Source organism: Homo sapiens, chromosome 14 (assembly GCF_000001405.40).
Source record: "Homo sapiens chromosome 14, GRCh38.p14 Primary Assembly".
NCBI lineage: Eukaryota > Metazoa > Chordata > Mammalia > Primates > Hominidae > Homo > Homo sapiens.
The window spans coordinates 39,411,227-39,432,725 of NC_000014.9; the positions used below are offsets into that span (position 1 = coordinate 39,411,227).

Sequence of the window (21,499 nt, forward strand, 5' to 3'; positions counted from 1 at the left end):
CTGGGATTACAGGCGACCACCACCACACCCAACTAATTTTTTGTAGTAGTAGAGACAGGGTTTCACTATGTTGGCCTGGCTGGTCTCAAACTCCTGACCTCATGATCTGTATGCCTCGGCCTCCCAAAATGTTGGGCTTACAGGTGTGAGCCACTGCGCCTGGCCTTTTTCTTCTTTCTTAACATAGGGCATTTTTTGCTATAAATTTTCCTTTTAGTATTGCTTTTGCCACTTGCTATAAGTTTTGGTAAGTTGTTTTTTATTTTTATTTGTATCAAGATATTATTTGACTTCCCCCCCCTTTTTTTTTCTTGAGACAAGAGTCTCGCACTGTCACCCAGGCTGGAGCGCAGTGGCCAGATCTTGGCTCACTGCAAACTCTGCCTCCCGGGTTGAAGCGATTCTCCTGCCTCAGCCTCCCGAGTAGCTGCGACTACAGGTGCATGCCACCATGCACAGATAATTTTTGTATTTTTAGTAGAGACAGGGTTTCACAATGTTGGTCAGGATGGTCTCGATCTCTTGACCTCGTGATCCGCCCGCCTTGGCCTTCTAAAGTGCTGGGATTACAGGCGTGAGCCACTGGCACCTGGCCTTGACTTCCCTTTTAATATTTATTGACTGTTTAATTTCCATATATTTGTAAATTTTCCTTTTATTGATTTCCAGTTTTATATTATTGTGGTCAGAAAAGATATCTGACATGATTTCAATCTTCTTAAATTTGTTAAGACTTGTTTTGTAGCCTAACATGTGATTTATCCTGGAGAATGTTCCATGTGTGCTTGAGAAGAATGTGTATTCTGCTGTTGTTGGATGGAATGTTCTGTATATGTCTGTTAGGTCCATTTGGCCCATAGTTTGGTTAAAATCCAGTGTTTCCTCACTGATTTTCTGTCCAGATGATTTATCCATTGTTGAGAGTTGTGTCTTGATGTCTTATTTTATTATTGTATTGTTGTTTATTTTTCACTTCAGGTATGTTAATATTTGCTTTACATATTTAGGTGCCCTCATACTGGATGCATATATATTTATAATTGTTTTGTCTTCCTGACTGACCCTTTTATCATTCTATAATGACCTTGTCTCTTGTGTCAGTTTTTGACTTAAAGTCTATTTTCTAAGATATAAGTATAGACACTCCTGCTCTTTTAATTACTATTTGCATGGAGTATCTTTTCTCATTTCCCCGCTTTCACCCTGTATTTGTCCTTAAAGCTGAGTGTCTTACAGGCAGCACATGGTTGGATCCTGTTTTTTAATTCATTCAGCCACTCAATGACTTTTGGTGATGGAATTTAATCCATTTATATTTAAAGTAATTAATAATAGGTAAAGACTTACTATCGTCATTTTGTTCGTAGTTTTTTTCATTCCTTTCTTCTCTTGCTGTCTTCCTTTGTGATTTGATGATTTTTTTGTAGTGCTATGTATTTATCTTTTGTGTATCTACCACAGGCATAACTTGCAGATATTGCAGGTTTACTTCCAGACCACTGCAATAAAGTGAATATTGAAATAAAGAAAGTCACACAATTTTTTGTTTTTCAAGTTAACATAAAAGTAATGTTTACACTGTAATGTAGTTTATTAAGTGTGCAACAGCGTTATGTCTAAAAAAGCAATACATATACCTTAGGTAAAAAACACTTTATTGCTAAAAAATGCTAACAATCACCTGAGTCTTCAGCAAGTTGTAATCTTTGGCTGATAGAATGCCTTGTCCCAATATCGGATGGCTACTCACTGATCAGGGTGATAGCTGAAGGCTGGAGTGACTGGCAATTTCTTAAAATAAGACAATGAAGTTTGCTGCATCTGTTGACTTCCTTTCATGAAAGATTTCTCTGTAGCATGCTATGCTGCTTAATAGCTTTTTATCCACAGGAGAGATTGTTTTTACAATTGGACTCAATCCCCTTAAACTCTGCTGCTACTTTATCAGCTAAGTTTACGGAATATTCTAAAGTCTCTGTTGTTATAATTTCAACAACATTCACAGCATCTTCATTAGAAGTAGATTCTAATCTCAAAAACCACTTTGTTCATCCATAAAAAGCAACTTCTCATGCATTCCAGTTTTATGATGAGATTGTAGCAATTTAGTCAAATCTTCAGGCTCCACTTCCAATTCTAGTTCTCTTGCAATTTTCACCACATCTACAGTGACTTCCTACACTGAAGTCTTGAACTCCTCAAATGATCCATGAGTGCTGGAATCAATCTCTTACAAAGTCCTGTTAATGTTGATATTTTGATCTCCTCCCATGAATCATGAATGTTCTGAATGGCATCTAGAATGGGTGAATCGTTTTTATAAGGTTTTCAGTTTACTTTTCCAAGATCCACCAGAGAAATCACTATCTATGGCAGCTATAATCTTGTAAAATGTATTCCTTAAATGATAAGACTTGAAAGTCAAAATTAACTCTTGGATCCATGGGCTGCAGAACAGATGCTGTGTTCGCAAGCATGAAAACAACATGAATCTCCTGGTTCATCTGCACCAGAGCTCTTGAGTGACCATGTACATTGTCGATGAGATGTAATTTTAAAAGGAACCTTTTTGTAAGCAGTAGCTCTCCAAAGTGGGCTTAAAATATTCAGTAAATCATGCTGTATACAGATGTGCTATCATCCACGCTATGTTGTTCCACTTATGGAGCACAGGCAGAGTAGATTTAGCATAATTCTTAAGGGCCCTAGGACTTTTGGAATGGCAAATGAGCACTGGCTTCAACTTAAAGTGACCAGATGCATTAACCTCTAACGAGAGTCAGCCTGTCTTTTGACGCTTTTAAAGTCAGGTATTGGCTTGTCTCTAGCTATCAAAGTCCTAGATGGTATCTTCTTGCAATAGAAGGCTGTTTTGTCTACACTGAAAAATCTGTTGTTTACTGTAACCACATTCATCAATGACCTTAACTAGATCTTCTGCAGCTTCCACGACAGCACCTGCTGATTCAGCTTGCATTTTCAGGGAGGTGACTTTTTTCTTTAAACCTCATGAACCAACCTCTACTAGCTTCAAGCTTTTTCTCCTGCAGCTTCCTCACCTCTCTCAGCCTTCACAGACTTGAAGAGCATTAGAGCCTTGCTCTGGATTAGACTTTGGATTAAGGGAATGTTGTGGCTAGTTTCATCTTCTATCCAGACCACCAAAACTTTATCAGTAATAAGGCCATTTCCCTTTCTTATCACTCATGTGATAGATGGAGTACCACTTATACTTTCTTTCAAAAACTTTTCCTTTGCATTCACAACTTGCCTGTTTGGTACAAGAGGCCTAGTTTCTGGTCTATCTGGGCTCTTGAAGTGCCTTCCTTATGAAGCTTAATCATTTCTAGCTTTTGACTTGGAGTGAGAGACGTGGGACTCTTCCTTTCACTTAGCAATTAGAGGTCACCGTAGAGTTATTAATAAGCCTAATTTTTTCTTTCTTTCTTTTCTGAGACAGGGTCTTGCTCTGTTGCCCAGGCTGCAGTGCAGTGGTGCAATCACAGCTCACTGTAGCTCTGATTTCCCAGGTTCAAGTGATCCTCCCACCTCAGCCTCCCAAGTAGATGGGAACACAGGTGCACACCACTATGCCCAGCTAATTTTAAAATATTTTGTAGGGATGGGGGTCTATGTTCCCCAGGCTGGTCTTAAACTCCTGTGCTCAAGTGATCTTCCTGCTGTTGGGATTACAGGTGTGGGCAACTGTAATTGGCCTAATTTCAATATTATTATCTCTTAGGGATTTGGGCAGCTCAATGTGAGGGCAAGAAATGGGGGAAGGGCTGGTCCGTAGTCAGAACACACACACAATTTATAATTAAATTAGCTATTTTCTACAGGTGTGGTTCGTGGGGCACCAAAATGATTACAATAGTAACATCAAAGATTACTGATAACAGATCATATCAGATATAACAAGGGTGGGCTCAGTGTGGTGGTTTACATCTGTAATCCAAGCACTCTGGGAAGCCAAGGTGAGGATCTCTTTAGCCCAGGAGGTGAGGCTGCCATTACCCATGATCATGCCACTGCACTCCACCCCGGGTGTCAGAGCAAGACACTGTTTCTAGAAAATGACGACGACAACAACAAGAACAACAAAGATATAACAAGAAACACAATGTGAGCACATGATATTGGACAAATGGTGCCAATATAGTTGCTTGATGCAGGGTTGCCACAAACTTAATTTGTAAAAAAAACATAATATCTGTGAAGTGCAATAAAATGAATCATAACAAAACAAGGTATGCCTGTATGTGTTTTTGCTGTATGATTACCATGTGGTATATATAATAGTGCATTTTAAGATAATAATATAATTGTATGCAAAAACTGTACACATTTGCTCCTGCATACGTTGCTACTGATGTTCTAATTTATGTATTTTAATATTACATATCCACCAATTAATTATTGGAGTTATTCTTCATGCTGTTGGCTTTTTCTTTTTTTGAGACAGAGTCTTGCTCTGTTGCCCAGGCTGGAGTGCAGTGGTGTGATCTCGGCTCACTGCAACCTCTGCCTCCTAGGTTCAAGTGATTCTCCTGCCTCAGCCTCCCAAGTAGCTCGGTTTACAGGTACCCCCTACCATGCTCGACTAGTTTTTGTATTTTTAGTAGAGACAAGGTTTCACCATGTTGGTCACACTGGTCTTGAACTCCTGACCTCAGGTGATCCACCTGCCTTGGCCTCCCAAAGTGCTGGAATTACAGGTGTGAGCCATGGTGTCCGGCCTAATACCATTGGCTTTTAACATTTATATCAGAGTTACAGTGATTTATTAACCAGTAGTACAATACAATATTATTCTCTATTTGTTTATATATTCACTAGTGAGTTTTTTACTGTCATATGCTTTGTGTTATTTATTGTTCCTTTGTTTCATGTTGAAGAACTCCCATTAGCATTTCTTGTAAGGCAGTTCTAGAAATGATTAAACTCCTTTAGCTTCTGTTTATCTGGTAAAATCTTTCACTCCATTTCTGAGGGATAGCTTTGCTGGGTACACTATTCTTGGTTGACAGTTTTTTTTTTCTTTTCTTTCAGCGCTTATCTCACTTACCTTTATGTCTTTGATTTTTGACAATTTGATTATAATATGTGTTGGTGTAGACCATTTTGGGTTCATCCTGTTTGGCACTCTTTGACCTTCATGAATCTGAATATCCATTTCCCTCACCAGATTTGGGAAATTTTCACTCATTATTTCTTGAAACAGCTTTCTGCTCCTTTTCTACTTCTGGGTTGTCCATTCCTTATCTTTGCTTGATTGAATTCCACAGCTTCACTCCTTTTCATTCTTTTTATTTTGCTCTGCTAATTTGATAATTTCAAAAATGACCTGTTTTCGATTCTTTCTTCTGCTTGATCGATTGTCAGCTGCTTATTGAACTCCTGTAGTCAATTTTTCGGTTCAGTTACTGTATTCTTCAGCACCAGTATTTGTTTCTTTTTTATTGTTTCCCTTTGTTAATATCCTTACTTTGCTCATATATTCTTTTCCTGATTTCATTTAGTTTTCTACCAGTGTTTTCATGTAACTCAGTGAGCTTCTTTAAGAGGATTAATTTAAATTCTTTGTAGGTAATTAATACATCCACTTTTTTTTAAATTGGTTACTAAAGAATTATTTTCTTCCTTAGATTCTGTCATGTTTTCTTGATTTTCCATGTTCCTTGTATGGCTGCATTGTTGTCTGTGCCTTTGAAGAAACAGTACTTTTTCCAGTCTCACAGAGTACTGTTTGCTGTAGAGGGTACCCACTCATTTCCCTTTATTCCTAGTTGTCACAGGCATCCAGGCTCCACCAGTCCTTTAGTAGGTGGCATGAATTGAGATGGAAACGAGCCCTTTGGGTACCACACTGAAAGGTTAGAGACAAGGCTCACTTCATTTCCCTCCTAAAGGGAAAGGTTCCAAGCCTTTTCCCAATCTTGCAGAACAGTGCCATCTGTAGGAGGCCACTCACCCTTCTTTTGTTCTCAGTTGTTTCAGGCATCTGGGCTCTATCAGTTTTTCAGCACTGGATATGAGGTGAGACAGAAATTGGCAGGGGTGCACTGAAATGCCAGGAGGCCAGATGGCCAAGTGCAAGCTCCATTCTTTCCTTTCCCAATGTGGGAGAAGTCATGGGTGATTCTCTTTGCTCTGAACTAAGCTAGTTTGCGGGAGAAGCTGATGTGGGCAAAGTGAATTTGCTCTCCTTACCTATCATGGTTTCTCAGTTATGTATGTGGCTGGGTGCTACAACTTATTAACTGGATTCTGCATTTCTTATAAAGGTATTTTAGTACAAGTATTGTTATTTTTTTTTTTTGAAACAGAGTCTTGCTCTGTTGCCCAGGCTGGAGTGCAATGGCACGATCTTGGCTCACTGCAACCTCCACCTCCTGGGTTCAAGCAATTCTCCTGCCTCAGCCTCCCAAGTAGCTGGGACCACAGGCATGCACCACCATGCCCAGCTAATTTTTGTACTTTTAGTAGGGATGGGGTTTCACCATGTTGGCCAGGCTGGTCTTGAACTCCTGACCTCATGATCCACTCGCCTCGGCCTCCCAAAGTGCTGGGATTACAGGCGTGAGCCACCACGCCTGGCCCAAGTATTGTTATCTTGATGTTTCTATGGGAGAGCAAAGGCTAGGACTTCCTACTCTGTCATCGTGCCCTCATGACAGGATTTTTGAGTATGTGAAAAAATACATGATATAATCAATGGAAAAAGGTATAAAACCATACACAGACTGTTATCCCAATTTTGTAGAAGGATGCATCACATTTTACCCAGTGATCATATCTGGTGGACTTTTTTTTTGTAATTTTCAAATTTTCTATTATTATTATTATTTTTTTGAGATGGAGTCTTGCTCTGTCACCCAGGCTGGAATGCAGTGGCGCGATCTCTGCTCACTGCAAGCTCCGCCTCCCGGGTTCACGTCATTCTCCTGCCTCAGCCTCCCGAGTAGCTGGGACTACAGGTGCCTGCCACCACACCCGGCTAATTTTTTGTGTTTTTAGTAGAGATGGGGTTTCAACGTGTTAGCCAGGATGGTCTCGATCTCCTGACCTCGTGATCCGCCTGCCTCAGCCTCCCAAAGTGCTGGGATTACAGGCCGGAGCCACTGTGCCCAGCCTCAAATTTTCTATTATTACAAGCACATATTACTTAAGAACTCAGAAAAACATGTCAAATTTGCTTTACATAGCCTTTAAGTTCATAAGAACTTAATTTACTTCAAAATCGTTAAAAAAATTAACAAACTGCAGCTGGGCGCAGTGGCTCAGGCCTGTAATCCCAACACTTTGGGAGGCTGAGGCAGGTGGATCATGAGGTCAGGAGATTGAGACCATCCTGGCTAACAAGGTGAAACCCCGTCTCTACTAAAAATACAAAAAATTAGCCAGGCGTGGTGGCGGGTCCCTGTAGTCCCAGCTACTCGGGAGGCTGAGGCAGGAGAATGACGTGAACCCGGAAGGCAGAGGTTGCAGTGAGCCGAGATCGCGCCACTGCACTCCAGCCTGGGTGACAAAGCGAGACTCCGTCTCAAAAAAAAAAAAAAACAAAAAAAAAACAAACTGCATCACAGTAAAACTTAACAAGTTAATGTAAAGATACTCTCTGGAATAGTTCCAGCTATATAATAATTTAAAATGTTCTACCAATGTTAGAAATATGCCATTCAAAGGGAACTGAACAAAAATTCTAATTGCAGCAACAAAATGGTAATAATCCCTTTACAGTATGGTTCACAATACATGCACAAACTTTCCCTATATATGTAATGAGAGATATACTTTTAAAGCCAGAAGATTTGTGGGATTATCGAATTCATTCCTCTCCTGTTGTAGATGAAGAAATTGAAGTGACCTGTTTCAGACTACAACACTAAAGTACAGCAAGGTAGAGAATCGAGGTTTTAACTTCCACTAAGTGATATTTCTTGTAATTAACCCAGGTGTTTGAATACAATGCTTTCATTCAAGTGATAGGAAAAATTATAACTCACGTATTTCAGAGCAGTATAGGATGAACATTTGCAAAAAACGCTTTTAGGTACTTATTTTTCAATTCAAAATGAAAATGTATTAAGTGATATGGAAAACAGTAACTTTAAAAGTTAGAAAACCATAAAAAAAATGACAACTCAAGGGCAGCTTTCAAATACATGGTGTTGAAATTAGATTATAGACCACATGGTAAAGCCAAGGAAACTGCATATAGCCTCTAGGTGGCTCATTATTGTTTCAGATAGTAAAGAGACTGAGAAGAACATCTAGGCAGCAACACTGGAACAGAACCTACTGGGCTGTGGTAATAAACAGATGTCTCATTTTGAGGCCAGGAGACTACACCAGTAATAAATAAGGGAATTGTGCTACATAATCCTTTTAATTAAGGTGAACTCAGTAACCTGAGTTTATTTACTCATTCATTTATTTATTGTTGAATAGCAAGTGAACTAAAGAAATCAATAGGGTTATTTCCCGCAGAATGTCCACAAATAACACTTGCTTAAAAGACATGTAACAAAAAATACTGGAAAAATATTACAGTTGGCTAGAAAGTTTCTTCTTTCATCTTAATTCTTCAAATTAATGTACTTTGATTCCTTTGGTAATACTGATAGGATATAAGCTATTTACTAGTCCCTATGTAAATCCTAAAATGTGTTGTGAAATATCACAAAGTCATAAACAGTGCTTGATAATCTTTCTAAAGCATGCAAAAGGCCATATACTATCATCAAAAGAGAATGAATTTCTTCTACTTAATTTTGTCCTTAACAGTATTTTTAAAAGTAATGAGTTCCAGATCTCGAGCTAAAGCACATCCTTAAGCACTTACAACTTAGAAACAGCCTACAGACTGCTCTCCTACTTTTTGCTTATTTAATTACTAAAATATGTATATTGTGTGCCAATGACATGAAAAGTTATGGTGGTTAAGTTCTAAATATCTGTGGGCTTATTAGATTCTTGGAGTAGAAATAAAGGTTTTAAAAATAAACTTGGTTTTAAAAATCAGATGATACCAAGGAATTACTGATAACTCTGTTATCAATGGTATTGTGGTTATACATAGAAATGTCCATAATTTTCAGACCTGCATACTTTAGTAAAGGTAAAATGGCAATGATATCTGGGAATTGCTTTAAAATACTTCAGTGCAGAAGAAAGCGGCTGGGCGCCGGTGGCTCACGCCTGTAATCTCAGCGCTTTGGGAGGCCGGGGCGGGCGGATCACGAGGTCAGATCGAGACCAACCTGGCTAACACGGTGAAACCCCGTCTCTACTAAAAATACAAAAAATTAGCCAGGCGTGGTGGTGGGCACCTGTATGTAGTCCCAGCCACTTGGGAGGCTGAGGCAGGAGAATGGCGTGAACCCAGGAGGCAGAGCTTGCAGTAGGCCGAGATTGCGTCACTGCACTCCAGCCTGGGGGACAGAGCGAAACTCTGTCTCAAAAAAAAAAGCAAGCAAGCAGCAAATGTGGTAAAATCTTCAAAAATCTTCAAATTACTGAATCTGGGTGATGGTATTAATGGGGGTTCATGTGTCTAGTTTTAGTGTGTGTTAAAAATTTCACAAGTAAAATTAGAAAACAAGGCAGTCACTTCTCTAATTGTGGAACCCTAATAATTTCACTTACTCTGTGCTTCAGTTTCACCATCTGTAAAATAGAAATAATAGAGAAGCCTAACTCCTAGAGTTGCTGAATACTGCTGTTAATATAGGAAAGCTGGTTTAGGATTTTAGGGGATGTCAAGAACACATCCACTCCGCCCTCTGAAGCATGGCACTATGAACAGGCATTACCCAGCCCTGTGACCCTGGTGGTGACTCCTGTGGTCTATGTGTAGATTCTAATAGGACATCGGTATGAAGGTGGGTGGCTTGAGAAGGTGGCATTAAGATCAAAGACTCTTGCCTCAGGTGACTATGTTTCTTCTTTTCCTTGAACAAAAATTCTCCTTTTGAGGTTTTGAAAAGTAGGATTCATTTTTGAAGTTACCAGCAACAGTTGAATAACAAACCAGATTAAAAGGTAGCCCAACTCTGGCCCTTATTTCTTCCCTTTTTTTGTTCACCTTAAGGAGTATACGTGATGAGCATCTACATGGAAAGACATATTTACCTTGGTCTAGTACCACAGGTGATTAGACCACTGATTTGGATGCAAGGGGAGGGAAAAATCAGCATAGGGAGTACCACTGGCTTCTTCCTTTCTGCTCAGTCCTACCACATATGGACTTCATATGAGTCCATAGCTCATATGAAGGTTAGACCTAGGCAAATTTCAGGGCATAATGAGTTTATACGAAGCAGAAAAGTCAAAGAGAAAAAAGAAGAAAAATAAAAATTTCAGGTGACCATAGTAAGGAAGACCACAAAGTTTCTGGGAGCAATTAAACAGACTAACCCAAATTTATATAACATGATATGAACAGAACACTGCTGTACAAGTGCTTGGTGATAAATGAGTTAAACAACAAAGTAAGTTATGTTTTCACATAATAAACTGTATCCAAACCCTAGCTATTTGAGTACAAATCACACACACACACACACACACACACACACACACACACAAACACACGCACGAGTAAGAATAACCAAAAAGGGGAAAAATATTTTTAGATGTATTTAGGGAATAGCAATTAGAAGGGCATTGTAATGTTAGAACATCATATCTAATTCTTTGTACTTTATTCCACTTCTAGAAAACCTCCAGATAAAAATAAATACAGACCAGGCACAGTGGCTGACGCCTGTAATCCTAGCCCTTTGTGAGGCTGAGGCAGGTGGATTGCCTGAGCTCAGGAGTTCGAGACCACCCTGGGCAACATGGTGAAACCCCGTCTTTACTAAAAACACAAAAATTAGTCAGGCCTGGTGGCGTGTGCCTGTAGTCTCAGCTACTCGGGAGACTGAGGCAGGAGAAGTGCTTGAAGCTGGGAGGCGGAGGTTGCAGTGAGCCAATATTGTGCCACTGTGTTCCAGCCTGGGCAACAGAGCTAGACTCCATCTCCAATAAAATAATAAAACAAAAAACAAAATAAACAGAATCATACTACTCATCACTTCTGTTGCTCATGCCCTGGTCTAAGCCACCATTACTTCTTGCCTGGATTACTGCAACAATCTCCTAACTCTGCTCATTGCTTCCACCCTTGCCCTACTACAAGCTATTCCCAACACAGTAGCCAGACTGTTCCTTTTGAAATGTCAGATCACATCACTGTCTTTGCTCAAAACTCTCTGATGACACCTCATCTAAGAGTAAAAGTCAAAGTCCTTACAAGAGCCTCACAAGTGCCTACAGATTTCCTTATCACCTTCCTCCTTACCTGGCTGACTTCTTCTACATTTCATTGCTTTCCATGCTGTGTCTTTTTCTTTTTTCACCCTTCATAAGAATTTATTACTAGGTAGAGTGTAAAACAATAAAGCTTCTAAATGGTGACATAAGACAATATCTTTTTGACTTTGCAGATTTTTTTCTAACAAAGTTTTTGTTTCAGTAGAACACAAAAATCTCTACCCATAAAGGAACAAAATGTCAAATTGGAATTTTTTAAAATTAAGAACTTCTGAATATTAAAAAATGCTTAAGGCCGGGTGCAGTGGCTCATGCCTGTAATCCTAGCACTTTGGGAAGCCAAGGCGGGTGGACCACAAGGTCAGGAGTTCGAGACCAGTCTGGCCAACATAGTGAAACCCTGTCTCTACTAAAAATACAAAAATTAGCTAGGTGTGGTGGCGTGTGCCTGTAGTCCCAGCTACTCGGGAGGCTGAGGCAGGAGAACTGCTTGAACCTGGGAAGCGGAGGTTGCAGTGAGCTGAGACCATACCACTGCACTCCAGCCTGGGTGACAGAGTGAGACTCCATCTCAAAAAAAACAAAAAGCTTAATATAATGAAAGGGAGAATTTTGTAATACTCAGAACTATCAAAGGACTCATTTAGGACATACAAAAAGTTATCAGAGAAATACAAATTAAAAGTACAATATAATACACTTGAATTAAAAACACTGACACTTGCTAACATGTTAGTAACTGTGGAAAAACTGGAACTCATATATATTACCAATGAGAGTATCAAATGGACAACCCGTTTTGAAAAGCTTTTTGGTTATTTCTACTAAAGCTGAGCATATGTATACGGTATGATCCAGAAATTTCATTCCTAGGTATAAGCCCAATATGAATGCCTACATTAAATGCACTAAAAAGAAGTGCACAAATATGTATGCAGATAGCAGCAATGATCATTAAATACAAAAACTGGAAAAAATTCAAATGTCCATCAGCAATAGAATAGATAAATTACAGTCTAATCATCAATAAAAATTAATGAACAACTATTATAGTGAGGTCTCAGACATACAACATTGAGCAAAAGAGGTCAGATTCTAAAGATAACATACTGTATAATCTTGCTTATATGAAGTCCAAAAAGAGGTAAAACTAACCCACAGTGTTAAGTCAGGATAATGGTTACCTTTGAGGAAAGGGAGTGGTAACTGGTAGGGGTCACAAAGGGAACTTCTAGGGCTCTAGTAATGTTCTGTTTCTTTTTAAAAAGTTAAAATAACTTTTATTTTAGAATCTGGGGGCACATGTACAGGTTACAAAGGTATATTGTGTAATACTGAGGTCTGAGGTAAAAATGAATCCATCACCCAGGTAGTGAGCATAGTATCCAACTCTTACCCTGCTGCCTCCCTCTCCAGTCTTGTATTCCCCAGTGTCTATTGTTTCTATTTTTATAACTACGTGTACTCAATGTTTAGCTCCCACTTATAAGTGAGAACATGCGGTATTTGGTTTTCCGTTTCTGTGTTAGCTTAGGATAATGGTCTTCACCATGCTGTCTCTAAAACATGCCAGTCATACTTGCACTACAGAGCTACTCCACTTACTGCTACTTCTGTCTGGAATCACTTGCCCCAAAGAGACACCTGGCTTGCTCCCTCCCTACCTTCAAATACCACTTCAGTAGTTGAGACCCTCCTTAACTTCCCTATTTTAAATAGCAACACTCCTAAGTCCACCATTCCCATCTCCCTTCACTGCTTTATATTTCTTCGTAGCATATATTACCAACTGAGATACTGTAATTTCACTTAACGTGTTTTCTGTCTTCTTTTCCATAAGAAAAAGCTCTATGATGGCAGGGCCTTTTGATTATTGCTATATCTCCAAATACTAACACAGGGTCTGGCATTCAAAAATATTTGTTGAATAGTGTATTTACCTTAGTTTATAAAAAAAATTAAAGTCTATTTAGCTACATCTCACACACCACAAATTTAGGGGGCAGACCAGTTTTCAGTTACATTATACATTAGGAATCCCTCTGAAACAACATATTTTCCCAGAAAACTAAAAATCCCATTCTCAATTATTTCTTTGACGTAGTAAATAGAACCAGTGGAAAACCGCAAAATGCAGCTACCTTATATGAGAGTTAATATAGCTAAGTCTAATTAGCTGTGGAAACAGAAAATAGAAAACATACAACTTAAGTATGTATGTTAAGGCTGGGTGCAGTGACTCAGGCCTGTAATCCCAGCGCTTTGGGAGGCCAAGGCAGGCGGATCATGAGGTTGGGAGATTGAGACCATCCTGGCCAATATGGTGAAACCCCGTCTCTACTAAAAATACAAAAATTAGCTGGGCGTGGTGGTGCATCCTGTAATCCCAGCTACTTGGGAGGCTGAGGCAGGAGAATCGCTTCCACCTGGGAGTCAGAGGTGGCAGTGAGCCGAGATCATGCCACTGCACTCCAGCCTGGTGAGAGAGTGAGACTCCATCTCAAAAAAAAAAAGTTTATTAAAATTCCACTGAAATGAGATATCTTGTTTTCTATACTGCACAAGAATTTCCTTATGAATTAAACAACCATCACAATTTTTTATTGTCTTATTATTCTTCTCAGACTCCTGTTAGGACTGTTTAGCACAATTGTGACCCAGTGCTTGAGATTTCAGGCCTGATGACCTTGTTCTCTCTTCTGTGGGTCAGAATTGGGGAACTTCATCTATGGTAGTAAACTTTGTTAAGTTTCTTTTCATTCCAGAGGATCCAAAATTATTTCTTTGATTTAATACACAGGAACAATAGAAAAATGCAAAATGCAGCCACCTTAAGAGTTATTACAGCTAAGAAGAATTAGTTATGGAAACATAAAAGAACATGGTTCTTTAAAAAGATGCTCTTAAAAACATTAAAATCTTTTCCAATGCCATAAAAGAGATAATGACATATAACTTTTTTCCTTTTTTAAATTAATAAAAGCTAAAATAATCCACCATCATTGCATGAAATTCTCTTGGGCTGGTTCTATTCTTCTTAGTCCACTTTCAGTATCATGTTTTAACATCCACATTATACTTTTTTAATAACATTATTTCCTTTCCTCAAAAATGCTAATGAACGGTCATAGCCAAATCAAACGAACACAAATAGTTTAGAGATGTGTTGTCCAGTAGTTTTCTTCTATGGATGGAAGTGTACTATTCTTTGTTGTACAATATAGCAGTCACTAGCCATATGTGACTATTGAGCGCTCGAAATGTGGCTAGTGGAACTAATGGGGTCTTTAATTTTATCTATTTAAAATTTAAATAGCTATCTGTAGCTACTGGCTGCCATATTTGACAGTACAACATTAGAACCCAGAAATAAATAACCGGCCTATAACAGTACTCCGTATTAGCTTTGGGACCCATTAACCAGAAGTTATTTCCCAGAACTTACAATTCCATCTAAGAATTACCATCCCCTAATCTAAGAATAACTACCATCCCCAAATCCCGAAGGTTACACACAAAAGGTGTATTTAAATAAAATGAACACTTGCGGTTGTTATTTAACATGCTATTTTTAAAAATTATTTATTTATTTATTTTTTATTTTATTTTTTCATATTTATTTTTTTAACATGCTATTAAAAGATAATTTTAACAATAATAAGGACAAGAAAATCGAGTGAGAAAGAAATGATGAAAAAATATTGTTTTTTCCTTTTGTCTTACTACCCACATCTAACTGGTGAGTACTCTGGGCTATACTTCCAAAATCCATCCACTTTTTTTCATCTCTCCTGCCTCCATCATAGTTCAAGCTACCATCATCTCTTGCTTAGAGTACAGTAAAAGCTTCCCAACTTGTCCCCCTACTTTCTCTCTTGGTCCCTAAGTCGCTCATAAAATGGCCAGGGTGATTGTCTTAAAATGCAAATGATATCACATTATTCTTGTCCTTAAAATTTTTTTCAGTGACTTCTTCTATCCTTGGAATATATTCCAAACTTCATTAAATAAGCCTACCTAACCCCAATTCTTCCTTCTTCTACTTCTCAGAACTCATCATGGCATCATTTTCATCCTCACTTGCCACAGCCCTGTCACACTTTCTTTTCCACTGCTCGAACAGACCAAAAATTTGTCTGGCTCAAGACCTTAGCGCTTACTGTTTCTTGTGTGTGGAATGCTATTTGCTCAGATCTTCAGATGGGCAACGCTTGTTATTCATGCTGCAGCTCAAATATCCTTCTCAAAAGAGGTTTCCCTGACACTTTACCTAATGTTGCCACCTAGTGACTATTACATCCTTCTGTTTTATTTTCAGATTTTATTTTCACAACCTGAAATAATCCTTCTTTCCTTTGTCTACTTGTTTCTGTCTTCCTTCCTCCTCTAGAATGACTCCGTGAGAACGGGAAGCATGTCTTCCCCGCCTGGCACATAGTACGCTCTCAATAATTGGAGGAAAAAACCCTAGATTTTCTATAACTATCATTTTAGCTCCTAAATAAATTGGTCAAGTTTGGTGAACTCTCCCAAGGCTGCCTCAGAACTAACAAATTAAAATGGAGATATTTAATCACTCCACTCAAAAGCTGCTTAACACCCTCATTTAACACAGTCAAAAAATTTTAACTTTTTTTTCCTTGAGTTTTACACCCTATTCCATCTATCAGTTGCCAATACAGCTGTGGAATAAAAAGTCCTAAAACCTCTCATAACAGCCTTCCAGGAGGTTAGTTTCTTTAGCTTTCCTTCTCAGTAACTTTGAGGCTATCCCTAAGGAGCCTCTTTTTCAGTTTTTAGGTAAGGAGCCTGCTGGGAATGCAGTGTCACAGGAAACTAATTCTTGAACAGGGCAGATTGGTCACAGGCCCAGTATATTTTAATATATTTATTCTGTAAATGGGCTTTTTAAAGTAAATAATAACAAAGTAAACTCTCAGAGATGAAACATTGTTAGACATATTTATTATACTACCACAGGAGAAATATTTCAAGAAAAATAAGGCTAAAAACTGTTGGAGATAATACCTTCAAGGCATTTTCTACCATCTTAGGTAGTAATCTGAAATGTCCAGGGAATTTTTAACCCATTTTAAAATGCATTTTTAGGCAGGGTGCAGGGGATCACACCTGTAATCCCAGCACCTTAGGAGGCAGAAATGGGAGAATCATATGAGGCCAGGTATTAGAGACCAGCCTGGGCAACACAGTGAGATCCTGTCTTTACACAAAATTAAAAAAATATATATATCAGCCAGGCATGGTGGTGCATGCCTGTAGTCCTAGCTACTAGGGAGGCTGGGGTGGGAGGATCATTTGAGCCCAGGAATTTGAGGCTGCAGTGAGCTATGATCATGATTGCTCCATCCTGAGTCACAGAGCAAGACTCTGTCTCAAAATATTTTTAAATGTCTTTATTATTGTTTCTTGGTAGGAAACAATACAAAGGTAAGATTCTCCTTCACTGTGCATGCCAAATCAACAAGACCCAAATCTAAGTATTATTAATAGATCCTTTTTAACTTACAGGATATATAAGCAGACACAGTCATGAAATGGTCAATCTACATACAAGCAGTTAGAGCTGTACCCAGAATCTTAAAAAGAAAATCAATCTTGTACAAAATTTCTCTGGTCTGTTACAATATGCATTCTTTTTTTTTAAATTTTTTTTTGAGACGGAGTCTGGCTCTGTCACCCAGGATGGAGTGCAGTAGCACGATCTCTATTCACTGCAACCTCTGCCTCCTGACTTCAAGCGATTCTACTGCCTCAGCCTCCTGAGTAGCTGGGATTACAGGCATGCACTGCCACACCCGGCTATGTATTTTAAAAGAGATGGGGTTTTGCCATATTGACCAGGCTGGTCTCGAACTCCTGACCTCAAGTGATCCACCCGTCTCGGCCTCCCAGAAAGTGCTGTCATTACAGGTGTGAGCCACCACCCCTGGCCAACGATATGAATTCTCAACAACAACAAAAAAGTACTGCCCCTAACAGCATTCCACCCAAGAAAAGCTTATGTAAAACATTTATACAGCCCATAGAAGCATAAACCAGATGAAGACAATGTGCCTATGGCTACTCTTCAGGTATTTTTAGTGACTGAGTCTATTACCTATTATCATAAATCTTACCATGAGCTCTCGTTTTTCCTAAGGAGTCTGAAATACAGCATTTTAATAGGCAGTACCCAACCTGACAACTGGATTAAATGCTAAAAATGCATTTATATCTATTTGTTGTTTGCACTTCTAGGTACAATTTCTTATAGAACGACTGCAGAGAAATTCAGCCTATGTGACCTAAAATACAGTTGAATGAGTACTTACTGCCCCTCTGTTCTTACTATTAATGAAGAAGACAGGTATCCTAGTGCCCTGTAGAGAAGGAATTTCTGAAACGTGAAGGACTGTGTGTTACCCTCAGAGAGGCACTTATGCACCTTCTTTATCCTTATTAGTTGTTCCTAAAACCTAAGATACAGGTATGGCAACTATAATCACTATGAGAATACATGTATATATATAACCCAGGAACCAAGCAAAACAAAATGCCAATTGTCCTCTCTGAAGATCAGCACCCTTGAAAAGTTCACACAATTCAAGTTTATACTTTTAATTATTTTCCTGAGGGACATGAAAATAACTGGAACAAAACAAAATAACAGTCTGAATTGTATGAACTGTATAAAGGAATTCAGCACAAAGCCTGGAAGCAGAATGCTTATGATCTGGTATGATTCACACCCCCTCTTTTCTACTTATAGAATGGCAGAAATCATAAAGCAAAACCATTGTAAATTTAACTTGGAAATGTAAAGAGCAATGTCAAATGTCCCAAGTCTATAGTTTAAGTGATTATAGAAAGAAATAATAGGCTTTACTAGTCACTGATAAACAATGTGGTTTAAAACATTTTCAGATTTGTTAAAATTTAAAGGAAACTAGTCTTATTTATGGATTTAATATTCATATTAACTTTTCCAATATCACAGAGTATCTCAAAACACTTTCAACAGTAAAGATGAGATTAACTTATTTCCAAAAACCCTTTGATGTATCATTAGTACAAACAACATGCAATTACACTACATTTTGAGACAAACAGAATGAATATGCTACCAAAGCAGCATGACATACAACACCATGCTAATAGTAGATGACAAGCAAACCTTAAAATTAGGGATGACGGGTGTGATGTTTTTGCATAGAAGTGATAGCTGACCCAGAAGGGCAGGCATCGGTGGCCTTATAGAGAAGCAGATTGGGATGCTAATAAAAATTGTAGGGGTAAGGAAGAGAAGGACAGGAGAATTAAGCTACAAAGCAAAGATGTGAAATATCTCCATTTTGCCTGTATGTTATCCACCCATCCAACCAACCAGTTATTAAAATACTTAAAAGGAACTAGACACTTATCAAGTCTTGTTCTTACTTGGGTCAAAGGCACATACAGTGTTTGCATGGTTGCATAAAAGTGCAATTTGATCTCAGTACAGAAAAATCTAATTGGTACTCACTCATTGAATTCACCCTCAACCTTGGTCTCATTAGTAAGTGCTCACTGACTGAAACTTTGCAACTTTTGGGTCAGTTGGTCCTCTAGCCATACATTCAACTCTGAGAAAGTCTCTAACCTAATCTGTTTTTAGCTTCAATGGCCTCTCCTGCCAGATAAAACCAAAGTAAGGAAATAGAATGTCTTGCGAAAAGCTGTGGAAACGCACAGGCAACTGGAATAATGGAGCCATATCCCAGATACAACTTGGAGCTATAACTTATCTCTTGACTTCTAAATTAAGACACAGATTAATGGCGCATACATATATATATATAACCTTATATCTATATATATCTCCTAGCATTAAACCAGGGACTGCTCTCAACCTTGTTCAACATAATGTTCAGTATATTTACTGCAAAAGGACACGCTTTCGGAGAAAAACAATGCCGTACAGCAATGTGCAAATCACTTGATCCTATAAAGGGTCAGTTTCCTTTCTGTAAAACAGGGTTATTTATCATTACCCTGCCTCATAGTGCCACTGAGAGGCTCAAACAACACAGTGAATGTGAAACTGCTGAAGTATTTTTACTATGTAAGGTGCTCCTTTTGTGAACGTCTAAACTTTCTTCTAATAAGAGCTTTACTGTAAGGTTCTTTAGAATATCCATATAAAGAAGATCTAAATTAATAGGGTTTTGGAGGTGGCGATGGAGAAAAATGATGATTGGGAGGGATACTGGGTCAGAATATAAGGCGTTAGTTCTGGAATTACAGTGAAGTCCTGATGCAAAACCAGAACAGTTATGTGCTTACCCTCTGCAGACCCTGGCCAACTCCCTCGCTGCCCGCCCGCCTCCTCCGCCCGACTGTTACTTTTAGGTGAACTACTGGGGAGAAGTTGAGTGTGGTGGTGTATGGGGAGGGACTTTCAACCCTGAAGATCAACTTCTTCCCCAATCCCTTTAACAAACACTCCTCCTCCTCTTCGGGCCTTGTTCAGTTAGCCGAAACTATTTCTGGTAAGAAAATGGCTGTTACAAAATTTCTTTTAGGCAGCGTCCTATGAGTACCTACTCCTTCCCTCACCATGAACTATTTCTAACAGATTCAGAGTCAGAAAATCGTGTTATGTGTATGTTTTGTTTCTTCCAAGGCTCACCCACAGGCCTCACCCTCCCAGTCTTAACGCTCCCATATATAAAATGAAAAGTGACAGCGCCTGTCAGCTCCATCCCACGGCCACCAAGAGGATGAATGAGTGCCTGGAAGGCGCCAGAAGTGGTGTCTGTTAAACACCCCGTCCACCACTGTTTATAAAGTATCGTGATGAGTCCCGTTATGCCTTTCCGCTCAAGGAAACCGCCTAGTTAGAACCAACACTCTCCGTCACTGAGGAAGGCAACACTGAAGTTGGCCGGGCACGTATTATGCACAGAATCTGTGTCGGGGTGCGGGGACGGAGCGACCCCCCGTTACCGGGCGGGGCGGGGCTCAGGGCAAGCCTACCTGTTGTTCCGGATGCTGACCAGCACGCAAAGCACCAGCTCCAAGTAGGTGCGCAGCACTTCCAGCCAACGAGCTGAGAGCTGCAGGGCCTCGACTTCCTCCCCTCCAGTCCCGGTGTCCGCGCCACCTCCGTCCCCTGGGCCACCGCCGCTCAGATAGTTCTCGGCGGCGAATTCAACACGCAGCTCTCGCACGAACCAGCCGCACTTGCGCATGAGGAATTCCAGCCGAGGCTGCTCCGCGGGCGAGACGCGGAGGCAGATGCGGAGCTGGGGCCACAGGGCCGGATAGAAGAGGCACTCACGCCAGTGCGAGCAGGAGGCCGAGGCCCGCAGCCGGTCGGGCGCCGGCAGAAAAGAGAAGATGTGCACGATCAGCTCGCTGGGCAGCGACGCAGCGCCCGCCGCCTGCCCGCACAGAGCCATCCGGCCCCGCCGCCGGCTGCCGGCTCCCGGCCGCCCCCGCAGTACCCGGAGCAGCCCCCGCAGCCGTCGCAGCTGCTGCAGCCGCAGCCGCCGCCACCGCGCCACCCGGGCGGCCCCGGCTCGGGTTCGAGCTCCCGGCGGTCGGGGCTGCGGCACTGACAAGAACAACAACATCAATGACTAGGAAGAAGGGGGCGGAACCGTCGTGGGTCTCGGCGGAACCAAGTAGAACACAAGTTGTGGAGAGGGGGAAAGGCCTCTGCGGGCGTGGCCTGCCGGGAGCCAGCCTCTGTCTTCTCAAACTCTACTCACGTGCGTCCGAGGCCGGCACACTGAGTAACTGCACTGCCCTCGCTCGTAAACTTCAGCGGCCCGGAAGCCTCAAGGCGTACTGTAAGGAAAAGGCAGCCCTCCCTGCGCCGGTCGGCAGAGACAGAGAAGTGGTAGGAGCTGAGTTTGACGTCGCCGCTGGTGGGAGGAGTCCGGCGCGCACCGGCGCGACTTCCGGAAGAGGGGAGCGCCCGATTGCCTGTAGGGACGGGAGGCGCGGCACGTGATCTCTGACGCACGCAGGCCGCGGGGCGGGGCGGGGCTGGGCGGGGCGGGGCGGGGCGGGGCTGGGCGGGACTGGAACCGGCACTTGGCACCCCTTACGCCTTACGGTGGCCGCTGCGCCCAGTCACATCTGTAAGTCGGTTAATTTTGGCGCTCGGTCGATGGAGGTGGCGGTACTCTGG

General features: G+C 40.6%; 1 protein-coding gene and 1 long non-coding RNA gene across 14 annotated transcripts in view, besides 3 other annotated features; one reads left to right on the forward strand and one right to left on the reverse strand.

Moving 5' to 3' along the window:
- FBXO33 (F-box protein 33) overlaps positions 1 to 21,207 on the reverse strand; it is a 34,750-nt gene extending 13,543 nt beyond the window's left edge. Inside the window, exon 1 of the mRNA NM_203301.4 lies at positions 20,338 to 21,207. Coding sequence (NP_976046.1) covers positions 20,338 to 20,936 — 599 coding nt within the window. The 5' untranslated portion in view covers positions 20,937 to 21,207. The remainder of the gene's footprint in view (positions 1 to 20,337) is intronic.
- Positions 20,196 to 20,325: a silencer, noted in NCBI's record as "silent region_5689". NCBI's record gives its function as "represses an Ori minimal core promoter by ATAC-STARR-seq in GM12878 lymphoblastoid cells {active_cell/tissue: GM12878}" and the evidence as "EXISTENCE:reporter gene assay evidence [ECO:0000049][PMID:35858748]".
- Positions 20,766 to 20,895: a silencer, noted in NCBI's record as "silent region_5690". NCBI's record gives its function as "represses an Ori minimal core promoter by ATAC-STARR-seq in GM12878 lymphoblastoid cells {active_cell/tissue: GM12878}" and the evidence as "EXISTENCE:reporter gene assay evidence [ECO:0000049][PMID:35858748]".
- Positions 20,996 to 21,245: an enhancer, noted in NCBI's record as "active region_8290". NCBI's record gives its function as "activates an Ori minimal core promoter by ATAC-STARR-seq in GM12878 lymphoblastoid cells {active_cell/tissue: GM12878}" and the evidence as "EXISTENCE:reporter gene assay evidence [ECO:0000049][PMID:35858748]".
- The window catches only part of LOC105370461 (uncharacterized), a 433,650-nt gene continuing 433,273 nt past the window's right edge, over positions 21,123 to 21,499 (forward strand). For 7 of the 13 annotated variants that reach the window (XR_007064127.1, XR_007064128.1, XR_007064125.1 and 4 more), the window contains exon 1: positions 21,386 to 21,449. This is a non-coding gene — a long non-coding RNA (uncharacterized LOC105370461). The other 6 variants (XR_007064121.1, XR_007064122.1, XR_007064119.1 and 3 more) reach the window with 2 other exon arrangements.